The 13667-nt window shown below is 35.7% G+C and overlaps 1 protein-coding gene across 9 annotated transcripts in view; it reads right to left on the bottom strand.

Moving 5' to 3' along the window:
- Positions 1–13667, bottom strand: part of PALS2 (protein associated with LIN7 2, MAGUK p55 family member) — a 120742-nt gene that overhangs the window by 14605 nt on the left and 92470 nt on the right. For all 9 annotated transcript variants that reach the window (NM_016447.4, XM_011515425.3, NM_001303037.2 and 6 more), the window contains 3 exons: positions 13500–13568; positions 10929–11090; positions 256–458 (listed from right to left, as the gene is read on the bottom strand). In NM_016447.4, coding sequence (NP_057531.2) covers positions 256–458; positions 10929–11090; positions 13500–13568 — 434 coding nt within the window. The remainder of the gene's footprint in view (positions 1–255; positions 459–10928; positions 11091–13499; positions 13569–13667) is intronic.

The following is a 13667-nucleotide window of genomic DNA, read 5'->3' as shown; positions in this document are numbered from 1 at the left end:
TACATACTAAACTTCTATTGTAGATCTAATCACACAGTTTCTATTGCCACCCAAGCCTCTGTTGGCTAATTGTTCAGAGATTTATTTAACTAGCTATGTATACATAATAACATTCTCTATCACCCAAAGGTAATGGAGGGAGTCACCTTTCCACCCTGACAAAACAAACAACCCCAACCCAACAACCCCGACACACATGAAAAAAACTCCACAGAAAATAAAATATAAAACAGCTTTGGAATCCAAGCAGCTTACTTGTGGGTTGACATCCAGAATGCAAGTCCGTCCAGTTTGGACAACCTCAAGAATAGAATCAATTTTGGTTCCATAGAGATTTCCTTCATATTCCCCATGTTCCAAATACTTTCCAGCTTTAATATCTGCTTCCATCTCAGATCGTGACACAAACTTATATGCCTGGCCATCTTTTTCATCTTCCCTTGGTTTCCGTGAAGTAACTAAATAAAATAGTGTTGAGATTTTTGTACAAAGAAATTTTAGGGCATAAAAAATAGACTAAAATACATAGGGTGGCTTAACGTTTTTCCACTGGGTGCAGCAAACTGTAGGCTATGACCAGATCTGATCTGCTTCTTATTTTTGTAAATAAAGTTTTATTGGACCACAGCCATACTCATTTGTTTATGTATCATACATGGTTTCTTTCCCATTAAAATGGTGGTAGTAATTGTGACAGACTGTATGGACTGCGAAGCCTAAAACTTTACCATGTGGCCCTTTAATAGAAAAGTTTCTTGATACCTTAGGGGAATATTTTAAGAGGTAGTCCCCCAAATAAAATTTGTATCCAAAAATATGCTTCTTAAAATCACTTTGAAACTCAAAGTATATTTACCTAGCAGCAGAGCCTTCAATGAAGTTCTTAATTATGGTAAGTGTTTGAGGCATGTTGTGAGTGAGTATCTTTTCAACTGACCAGCACTCTCCTTCTCCTTAGGAATCTATTACATCTTTTCTTTCCACATTAACACTTCCTAACTGCCCCAAAACGTGAGCAAGCAAAGTTCACCTGTTCTTAGTTGTGATACCAATTTTGTAAAGTGCAGTTTTACCCACAAATTATCTATCTTTTATCTTACCTCAAAACCAACGCTTTTAGCTTCCTGTTTATTGATATTCCCAAATGTTAACTGTTCTATTTTATACTTCAGTGGTAGAGCTAGACGCCTCATTATTATTATGGTCTATTAACCTCCTCTCCTCTGACCTGACATATTATTTCTGGGAAAATGAGATTGAATAGCTCAAGTCAAAATTTAGAAGTAGGAGATCCTTTTGTCTGATATTTTACAGCTTTGAATACTTTCAGAGACATACAACCCTTTGCAAGTTGGTCTGTGCTAGGAACGGTTATTACCATTTTTTAAACTGTTGCAAATGTGTACTCTCTGACAACTTTGTTAACAACAGCTTTGAAGAAGAAAAGTAATTTTTGAGCGTGTTATTTCAAGCTTAGCCTTACTCTGGGCTTTGCTGGATCGGATATAAGAAGTATCCTGTTTCTATTAGCTAAGTAGTTGGAGAATAACTGATGGAATTATTAACTACACCAAACTAAACTAAGAAAGTAATCCGAATAAAAAGATGACAGTGTTTTGACTATTTCTAATAAGCCTAAGACATAGAAAACTTTTATAAGAACAAAATGAACTTCAAACTCATGCTCAAAAATAAGGGTCAAATGAGATCATTATGTATAATAGGACTCCTGTTTTCCCCTTGTTTTCTGGCTCAACCTTGAGAGTGGTCGTCTTAGACTACTGTGAAGAGTATTTATAAAGTATCTTTGAGAATCTTCAAGATGCTATGATGGCTTTTCATATTTAAAACTGTGTGATCTTTAAGGTTTCTGGAATTAGTCACCAAAGGTGTGTATAATAAAACTTCTCAATAAATGTAATCCAGCATATAAACAGAACCAAAGACAAAAACCACATGATTATCTCAATAGATGCAGAAAAGGCCTTTGACAAAATTCAACAGCCCTTCATGCTAAAAACTCTCAATAAATTAGGTATTGATGGGACGTATCTCAAAATAATAAGAGCTATCTATGACAAACCCACAGCCAATATCATACTGAATGGGCAAAAACTGGAAGCATTCCCTTTGAAAACTGGCACAAGACAGGGATGCCCTCTCTCACCACTCCTATTCAACATAGTGTTGGAAGTTCTGGCCAGGGCAATTAGGCAAGAGAAGGAAATAAAGGGTATTCAATTAGGAAAAGAGGAAGTCAAATTGTCCCTGTTTGCAGATGACGTGATTGTATATCTAGAAAACCCCATTGTCTCAGCCCAAAATCTCCTTAAGCTGATAAGCAACTTCAGCAAAGTCTCAGGATACAAAATCAATGCATAAAAATCACAAGCATTCTTATACACCAACAACAGACAGAGAGCCAAATCATGAGTGAACTCCCATTCACAATTGCTTCAAAGGAATAAAATACCTAGGAATCCAACTTACAAGGGATGTGAAGGACCTCTTCAAGGAGAACTACAAACCACTGCTCAACGAAATAAAAGAGGATACAAACAAATGCAAGAACATTCCATGCTCATGGGTAGGAAGAATCAATATCGTGAAAATGGCCATACTGCCCAAGGTAATTTACAGACTCAATGCCATCCCCATCAAGCTACCAATGCCTTTCTTCACAGAATTCGAAAAAACTACTTTAAAGTTCATATGGAACCAAAAGAGAGCCTGCATCACCAAGTCAATCCTAAGCCAAAAGAACAAAGCTGGAGGCATCACACTACCTGACTTCAAACTATACTACAAGGCTACAGTAACCAAAACAGCATGGGACTGGTACCAAAACAGAGATACAGATCAATGGAACAGAACAGAGCCCTCAGAAATAACGCCGCGTATCTACAACTATCTGATCTTTGACAAACCTGAGAAAAACAAGCAATGGGGAAAGGATTCCCTATTTAATAAATGGTGCTGGGACCACTGGCTAGCCATACATAGAAAGCTGAAACTGGATCCCTTCCTTACACCTTATACAAAAATCAATTCAAGATGGATTAAAGACTTAAACGTTAGACCTAAAACCATAAAAACCCTAGAAGAAAACCTAGGCGTTACCATTCAGGACACAGGCATGGGCAAGCACTTCATGTCTAAAACACCAAAAGCAATGGCAACAAAAGACAAAATTGACAAATGGGATCTAATTAAACTAAAGAGCTTCTGCACAGGAAAAGAAACTACCATCAGAGTGAACAGGCAACCTACAAAATGGGAGAAAATTTTCCCAACCTACTCATCTGACAAAGGGCTAATATCCAGAATCTACAATGAACTCAAACAAATTTACAAGAAAAAAACAAACAACCCCATCAAAAAGTGGGCGAAGGACATGGACAGACACTTATGCAGCCAAAAAACACATGAAAAAATGCTCACCATCACTGGCCATCAGAGAAATGCAAATCAAAACCACAATGAGATACCATCTCACACCAGTTAGAATGGCAATCATTAAAAAGTCAGGAAACAACAGGTGCTGGAGAGGATGTGGAGAAATAGGAACACTTTTACACTGTTGGTGGGACTGTAAACTAGTTCAACCATTCTGGAAGTCAGTGTGGCGATTCCTCAAGGATCTAGAACTAGAAATACCATTTGACCCAGCCATCCCATTACTGGGTATATACCCAAAGGACTATAAATCATGCTACTATAAAGACACATGCACACGTATGTTTATTGCGGCATTATTCATAATAGCAAAGACTTGGAACCAATCCAAATGTCCAACAATGATAGACTGGATTAAGAAAATGTGGCACATATACACCATGGAATACTATGCAGCCATAAAAAATGATGAGTTCATGTCCTTTGTAGGGACATGGATGAAATTGGAAATCATCATTCTCAGTAAACTATCGCAAGAACAAAAAACCAAACACCGCATATTCTCACTCATAGGTGGGAACTGAACAATGAGAACACATGGACACAGGAAGGGGAACATCACACTCTGGGGACTGTTGTGGGGTGGGGGGAGGGGGGAGGGATAGCACTGGGAGATATACCTAATGCTAGATGACGAGTTAATGGGTGCAGCACACCACCATGGCACATGTATACATATGTAACTAACCTGCACATTGTGCACATGTACCCTAAAACTTAAAAGTATAATAATAAGAGGGGAAAAAAAAAAACCTTAAAAAAATAAAAAAATAAAAAAACTTCTAAGGCAACTTGTAACTCCCCAAATAAATGCATAATAGGACTTGGTTCAACATTGTGAACATTAATTTTAAAAATTAATGTTTTTTCGGTGAAGTCCTACAGTGAAACCATATAGGGGAATGCGCTGCTTGAAATAAATATGTATATGCACATGTATTACCTCTACCTCCATGCTGAGGGAATCTTAATTCTTAGAGAAATGTTCTTTAGTTTACAAGTGAATTTTAACTACAATCCTATTCTCTACTAACACTTCAAAAAACAATCTACGTTGCCACATATTTAAACTGCTTTCCATTTCTAGAACAGAGAAATTAGAACATGAAGGTTTGACTACAACTGATTCCTTAGACTTCTATACTGCGCAACTACATAATGTGATTTTTTAGAAGTAATTTTTTATGATAGGCAAAATTCTCAATTTTAGCTGCTCTTCAAATAATGAAGACACAATCAACAAAGTAATACTTCATTTGTTAACTAAGCTCAAGATGTCAAGATGTCAATGTTAAATTGAAAACAGGATGCATAACATAGCCCATCTCCCTAAAATAACAATGTTTTTCTATTTTATCTTAGGATCATTTTGTAATATATAAAGAAAGTTAAATCACCTTAATTTTATAACAGAAAATTTTAGAAATTCAAAAATATATGGAAAATAAGCAATATACTCCCAAATAACCAATGGATCAAACAAGCAATCACAAGTGAAAGAAAATACTTTGAGAGGAGATGGTGCTGTTGAAGAGCACAGTTACAGACAGAGCTGACCAGGCTCTTCCAGAGTGCCAGTTGTCCAGCAGCATGTTCATTACCCTGAAGATGTATGATGGTTGAACTAAACCCATTCATTCTAAGAAAAGGTTCTGTGGAGGGCTTTAAGCCCTTGATAATTGTCTTAAAAGCTACTGATGGGAAAAAGATCAGCACTGTGGTGAGCACTGAAGAGCTGAATCATATGGCTAATTCAAACATATTAAGAGCTAACATGGATGGGCTGAAGAATAGGGACAAAATGAGTAAGAGTAAGCAGCACAGTGAAGGGCACTACATTTCTTGCTTTCCCCAACTAATGGATGAATTGCTATTTCTTCTTCGGTTTTTACTTTTGGTCACAAAGATGGGTTCCCGTTCTGCCATATTAACTGTACTCATGTAAGGTTTAAGGTCATTGTGGAGGGAAGAAGGGTTGGAACAGCACAGTTGTTGTAAGAAGCCAGTTTATTATTTTAGATCTGGCTAACTGGTCTGTGTTGCATAGTTGCATATTCGGGATTACAATTTTAAAGTCTCTGTAGCCATCTACAGAGACATGTATCATTGAACCTATTTATATATATATATAAAAAACCCACTCAAAAGTATTTTGAGATGAATGAAAACAAAAACACAGCATACCAAGAACTTTAAGATGCAACTAAGTGCTTAGAGGGAAATTTATAGCTGTGAATGCCTATGTTAAAAAAGATCTCAAATCAATAATCTAATTTCCTATCTAAAAAAACAGAGAGTAAAATAAACCCAAAGTACAAGTAGAAAGAAAATAATAAAGATTATAGCAAAAATTAGAAAGTAGAAAAAATACAGAAAATCAGCAAAGGCAAAATTTGGTTGTCCGAAAAGATCAACAAATTGACAAATCTTTACATAGACTAAGAATAAAAGAGGGAAGACCGAAATTTCTAAAATCAGAAATGAAAGAAAAAACATTACTATGAACCCTGCAGAAATCCTGAAACTGATTTTAAAAAAAATCCAAGTTGACCTATAACAAGGAAAGAGACTGAACTAATAATCAAAACTTCCCACAAAGAAAAGCCCAGGGTCAAATGGCTTCATGGGTGAATTTCATCAAACATTGAAAGAATTATAATTAATCCTTCACATACTCTTCCCAAACAATGAAAGAGGAAAGAATACTTCACAACTCATTCTATGTGCCCTGAATTACCATATCAAAGCTAGACAATGACATCACAAGTAATGAGATGTATAGACCAATATCCCTTATAAATATAGATGCAAAAATCCTTACAAATTACAAGCAACTGAATCTAGAAGTATACAAAAAAAGACGGCACATCATAACCAAATGGAATTTACCACAAAAAGACAAGGTTGGTTCAATATATAAAAATCAATGAATGCAATACATCCTATCAATAGAAGACAATAAAAAACAAAAATCATATGAACCATTAACAAAGAAAAAGCATTTGGCAAGATCTAGTACCCTTTCTTGGTAAAAAGCCAACAAAGCAGGAACAGAAGGGAACTTCTCCAATCTGATGAAAGGCATCTATGAAAAACCCACAGCTAAAATGGAAAGATTGAATGCTTTCTCCTTTCTCCTTAAGATCATGAACAAGACAAGGATGTTCACTTTTGCCACTTCTATTACACTATTACACATTACACTGCAGGTTCTAGTTGAGGAAAGTAGACAAGACAACGACATAAACAGCACCCAGATTGGAAAGAAACAAGTAAAACGATCTCTATTTGCAGATGACATGATTTTGTATATAGAAAATCCTGAGGAACCCACACAAAAAAATCATCATTAGAATCAATGAGGTCAATAAGGCTAAAAGACAAAGCCAACACACAAAAATCAGTTTATTTCTGTACACTAGCAAGGAACAATCCAAAAAGGAAATTAAGAAAATACTTTTTGCTACAGAATAAAAAAGAAAAAAATACTCAGGAATAAATGTGACAAAAGCAGCATAATATTTGTACAATGAAAACCATAAACAGCATTAAAATGAAAACCTAAATAAACAGAGAGACATCTATGCTCATAGACTGGAAGAATTAATACTGTTAATATAGCACCTGTAATCCCAGCACTTTGGGAGGCTAAGGCAGGCAGATCACCTGAGGTCAGGAGTTCGAAACCAGCCTGGCCAACATGGTGAAAGCAAGTCTCTACTAAAAATACAAAAAAAATTAGCCAGGCAGGATGGTGGGTGCCTGTAATCCCAGCTACTGGGGAGGCTGAGGCAGGAGAATGGCTTGAATCCAGGAGGTGGAGGCTGCAGTGAGCCGAGATCATGCCATTGCACTCCAGCCTGGGCAACAGAGCAAGACTCCATCTCAACAAAACAAAACAAAACAAAACAAAACAAAACAAAACAAAACAAAACAGATGGCAGTAGTCCTCAAGGCCAAGTTACTGGCATTTCTATATAAATTATAAGATAAGCTTCCAATTGCTGCAGAAAAGGTAGCTAGAATTCAATATAATCCCTCTTAAAATTCTAGCTACCTTTTCTGCAGAAACTGGAAGCTTATCTTATAATTTATATAGAAATGTCAGGAACCCAGAAGAGCCAAAACAAGCTGAAAAAGAAAGAACAAGTTGGGTTCACAATTCCTGGTTTTGAAACTTAATACAAATATACAGTAATCGAGACAATGTGGGACTGGCATAAGGACAGACATCTAGGTTAATGGAACAGAACTGAGGGTTTATAAATAAATCTTGACATTTACAATCAATTGATTTTCAAAAAGGGTGGCAAGACAATCCACTGGAGGAAAGAACTATTCTTTTTGACAAATTGTGTTGTGACAACTGGATAAGTGCAAGCAAAAGAATAAAGTTGGAACCCCCTCCTCACATTTGACACAAAAATGAACACAAAATTGATCATATAATCTGCATGTAAGAGTCAGTAGTATAAACTCTTAAAATAAAATACAGGAGTAAAATTTTGTGGCCTTGGGTTAGGGAAAGCCTTGATATGGTACCATACTTGATACGATATGAAAAGCATGAGCAACAAAAGACATATAAATTTGGACTTCATCAAAATGAAAAACTTTTGTATATCAAAGGACACCATCAAAAACACGAGAAGTCAACAAAGAATGAGAGAAAATATTAATACGTGCAAATCATATCTAACAAGGAACCTGTACCCAGAATATAATATGACCTCCTCTTACAGCTTAAGAAAAGGACAAATAACCTAACTGAAAAATGGGCAACCAGTTTGAACAGACATTCCTCCAAAGAAAATATATAAATGGCAAATATGTACATGAAAAGTTGTTTGACATGATCAGACATTAGGGAAATGCAAATGAGAACCAAAATGAGATACAACTTTACACCCACTAGGATGACTACAATCAAAAAGCCAGATGACAAATGTTGGTGAGGATGTAGAGAAACTGGAAACTTCATATGCTGCTGGGATTGTGAAGGGTATATACACAGCTGCTGTGGAAAACAGTGTGGAAGTTCTTCTAAAGGCTAAACATACAGTCATCATATAACCTACAAATTCCATTCCAAGGTATATACCCAAGAGAAACAGGCATATGTCCACACAAATACCTGTATACAAATGCTGAGTGTAGCATTATTCACAATAGCTAAAAATAAAACAGTCCAAATGTCCATCAACTGATGAATATATAAATAAAATGTGGTATAGCCATATAATAATCACTTAGCAAGGAAAAGAAAATAAGTACTGATAAATGCTACAATGCAGATGAGATCTGACATGTTAAGAAGCCAGTCACAAAACACCACATATTGTATAACTCCAGTATATAAAATGTCCAAAATAAGCAAATCTATTTTGACAGAAAGATTCATGATTGCTCCTGGCAGCAGGGGGTGAGGAAGTTGGTGGGAAATGGGTACAGAGATTCTTTTGGCGATGATGAAGACGTTGTAACAGCTTTTGAATTTTACAATCCAGAATTCTATTCTCTGCTAATTAGTCAAATAAAGGGCAGAAAATATACATTTTAAAACACAAAGATGCAGACATTACATTCCACATACAAGAGGATGTACCCCAGCAAAACAAGGTGATAAACCAAGAAAGAGAAAGAATGGGATCCAGGAACAACAGCTTCAACCCAGGATAACAACAAAGGGAACTACTCCAGTGTTAACAGCTGGGCAGCCAGAGAGACAGCATGTAGTCCTCATTGAAGCAGAAAGACAGAGGGTTCTGAGACAGAGGTCTCCAGGAAAAAAAAAAAGAACCTGACTTACTGGATAAACAAGTCTTTAGTTTAAAAAACAACAAAAAACTGTATACACATATATATATAAAATCAGGTAGTATAAAGAAAAACAGAACTCCAGAGATTCCTGGGTCACAGAAGGGGAAAGGGCTGTTCAAGAAAGTGAAATTGAACTAACTGAAAATACAGCTATCTTTATATTGGAAGGACAGTCAGGAAGTCAACAGATAAGGCCTAAACTGCATAAAGCAGGAAACAGCAGACTAAAGACATTATTAAGAAATATGGAACACAACCAAAAGAAATAGCAAAAACAATGAAAAGTGACTGTTTTTCATAAGTGAGGCAGGGGAAGAGAAGGGGTTATTTTTTTCCCCATTATATGTCTTTAAGAACTACTTGCTAAAAATATTGGGCACATATGAATTTGATAAAAGCGAAAAACTTTTTACTTCACAAGTGCAGCTTTAACATACGTTGATTACAGTGAAGTTTTTGTTCTGTTAACCACTTTAGTAGGATTTGTCTAAATTTAGTGATTTACAATGCCTGCAGTAGAATCAGAAGATTTACACTGAAGGGATTATAAGTAGCACAGGGGGGCAATGACAAGGCTATTTCCCTAACTTTTAAGAATTTTAGCAATAAGAGTACTCACTGAGAATTAAACCCAAAATATACTGGACAAAACCAGGGAAACTCTAAAATTCAATTAAAAGAGATAGGGTTAAAGTTAGCCTAGGATTTGACTCAAAATAGCTTAAAGGCATTAATATACCTAAAGGAATGCCATGTTAAAAGGGGGCTTGGTCAGAAATAGAAGCACAGCAATGGGAATGAAAGCAATGTTAGCTTATCTCCTGCTTTCTTCAAGGGAGAGAACATCTAAGTTCACAAGTAAAGATCCACGTATTTCAAAAACAAAGACAAATGTTTATTAGTCCCTACAGTCAGAGACAAATGTGTATTAGTCATTACAGTAAATCACTAACATCATCCAATTCCTTGATCTAATTCCATTCTCATCAAGCATACTTCTGACATGATTATTTAACTTTCTATGTAAATATGCAAATAGAGAAATGAATGCAAAGACCATAAAATGAGTGCTTGGTTCACTTAATGGTTATACTTCTCATCAGTACTATTTTATTCTATACATCAGACTCTGTAACCTTAATGAATGCTGCCTGCAGTAAAAGATGAATCACTCTTATGTGCTATCAAAAATCAGGTTTATGACCTTGCATGACTGAGAGCTACAAGCCAGGCCACGTAAGTTCACACAGCTGTTGCCACACTGGGTATGTCCAAGGGTCAGAAGCTTTCCCCTTTTCTTTACACTAAAATGGCTGAAAAATCCAACTTTTTAGATAGACATCAGTACAAGAAAATCCTAAATGCCTATCTTGCCACGAGTCTTAAATGTAGGCATTTAATTCTAACATTTCTGAACTGAATAGTTTAGAGAAGCACTTGCCACCAGACAGCAAGCCAACAGCACTGCAGCACTATTTCAAGACAGCTACAGAATTACTAAATTTTTCAATGTCTTTTACTTGTTCACTTTCACTGCCATAAAGAAAACTTATTTGGGAATAACAATAACTAATGATAATAATCCCCCTTTCCTCCATATGCCCATACTCTTTCCTGCCAATTGCATAGCAAGGAAAACACAGAAAACTTACATGGCACCGTAGTTCCAAATCTAGTGGGATTCAATACTATGAACCTGTTTTTCAAGCTTCTTCGGCCTACACCTTGAGCTCCTATCAATACTAATGTTTTTCTCTGGAAGGGAGGCATTTTGGCTACCTCCTCATATATCTGGATTTCATGACGATCAAATTCTAAATGAAAAAGGAAATGGGAATACAAAGTCAACTTTTATATACATGAAAGAAATCTCTGCAATTCTGTCTAGTAATGGCTTAGCTGTCTTGATAGTTAAATATCACTTGACTTGTACCCACTTAGCATAGATTTGTTTTTACAAATTTGGTAAAGTACAATAAATAATAATTATTTTATTATTGTTTTTAAGACCGGGGCTCACTGTCACCCAGGGTAGAGTATAGTGGTGCAATCTTAGCTCACTGTACCCTTGAACTCCTGGGCTCAATGAAGCCTCCCGAGTAAATGAAACCACAGGTATGAGCCATTATACCCAGCTAATTTTTAATTTTTTTTTTTGTAGAGATGGGATCTTGCTATGTTGCCCAGGCTGGTCTCAAACTGCTGGCCTCAAATGATCCTGCTGCCTCAGTCTCCCAAAGTGCTGGGATTATAGGCATGAGCCACTGTGCCTGCCCCAGTAAATTATTTTATATCTTGCTTTAAACATCTGGTTCCATCCATTTGCCCTTAAAAATTTGTCTAATCGGGCTGGGCATGGTGGCTCATGCCTGTAATCCCAGCACTTTCGCAGGCCGAGGTGGGCGAATCACGAGGTCAAGAGATTGAGACCATCCTGGCCAACATGGTGAAACCTCGTCTCTACTAAAAAAATACAAAAAATTAGCTAGGCGTGGTGGTGTGCGCCTGTAGTCCCAGCTACTCAGGGGGCTGAGGCAGGGGAATCACTTGAACCCAGGAAGCAGAGACTGCAGTAAGACGAGATTGCGCCACTGCACTCCAGCCTGGTGACAGAGCAAGACTCCGTCTCAAAAAAAAAAAAAAAAAAAAAAAAAATTTATCTAATCAAGCTAGAAAAATTCTATGTTTTATCCTTACTTATCAGAGATTCTATCCACTGAAACTTATTATCAATTTGCCAGTAAAAATCCTTTAATATAAATAATCAAATTACAAACCAGTATATATAGAAAGCATGTAGCAAATACGGAGGACAGGAGTAAACCTAGCGTGGTTGCTTAAGTAAGTTCCACAGAACAAGTGACCTTCCAATTATATAAATGAATAAATATTGTATGGCAAATCAACAATTATCAGTTTGATTAGAATTCAACATACTGACATTTACTGACAACATACATTTAAATATTAAGATTTTGAAATTTACATATAAAATAAATTTTAGATCCAACTGTTTCACTAGAAACATAACCCAAAATTATAATCTTAGTCGATGGGAAAATTACAAATTTTCTATTTTGCAAAAAAGCCTTATGGGCATATATTTTATGAATAATAGGGCCAAAGTGATGATTTGAAATATTATATTACCTGTTATTACTGTAACTCTCAATCTGTAGTAATAACACTCCTTCCTTAGCTTATTATCCTAATAGTAACTCTTTCTTTGCACAATTTCCCCACAGTAGATTAAACCAATATTAAGAGAAAGCAAGCCTACTTCTTCCTTCTATATTATTTTCTTTTATGGTGTGCTATTTAGTTTATTACCAGCATAGAGGTAGCTCTGAAGTCAAGAAAGTACTTTTAAAATTGCCAACTCCTTTGATTAAGCCTCCAGAAATTTCTGATTCATAGAGCTGTTTTTTATTTCTGTCATCCTCTGCAACTGGGAAGAATAAATATAGTAGTTTCCATTCTTTCCCTTCTTTCCTATTTATTTATTTTTAATAGCCAATGAGTAGCCAATCCAGGTCTGGGGTCTTATTTTACATTGTTTTTAAAAATCTTTTCAGCTTTACTGAGGTACAACTGACAAACAGGAATTGTATATAAAGTGTACAACTTGATGTTTTCATGAATGTGTACAATGTGAATGATTACCTCGATCAAGCTATTAAACATATCCATCACCTCATATAGTTACCATTTCTTTCTTTTTAAATATATTTCTTTCTGTATGACTAAAAGATTTAAGACAGAATTCTATTAGATCAGACTAAGATTTATTTGGTCCAGTGCTATTTTTCTAAAACTATCATGGTCAGTGTTATGGCAGGATACAGTTGCCCTAAACATAACTCTTTTAACATCTTGACAAAGGCATTCTATCCTTTAGAAATGGCACATAAATTACTATTTCAAAATTCTCTGGACAAATAGTTTCAATTATGATACTGCTTCTTGATTAAGACAAACAAAAATCTTAACCAATTTGTTTTGTGTTGTAAACTATACTCACAAAATAAAGCACATGGTAGTATATATAATGTGGGTTTTAAATAATTTATATTATATTGCACCATGTGTTCATATGTCAGCCCCTTGCAACTAGGTACTAATCTGAATTACACTCACTTAAAGCTGTATATTCAGAGTTTATGCCACACTAAATGACATATAGCTACTTCACTTGGACTTCTCAAAAAGTATTTAAAACCTACCTGCATTTCTGGTTGTGAGATACATCATCTTTTTCTTTTTTTTGCTACTTATAGTTCCACAAAAAGGTCCTGAAGGATGATAAAACAAATATAACTTAAGCAGTATATCAGAATATGAAAAAATTGCCCTATAGTATTTTACAGGGGTGGGAGAATTATCTCCCCAAT

This window comes from Homo sapiens, chromosome 7, assembly GCF_000001405.40.
Source record: "Homo sapiens chromosome 7, GRCh38.p14 Primary Assembly".
Classification (NCBI taxonomy): Eukaryota; Metazoa; Chordata; class Mammalia; order Primates; family Hominidae; genus Homo; species Homo sapiens.
This window is presented reverse-complemented; position numbering and strand designations above follow the sequence as displayed.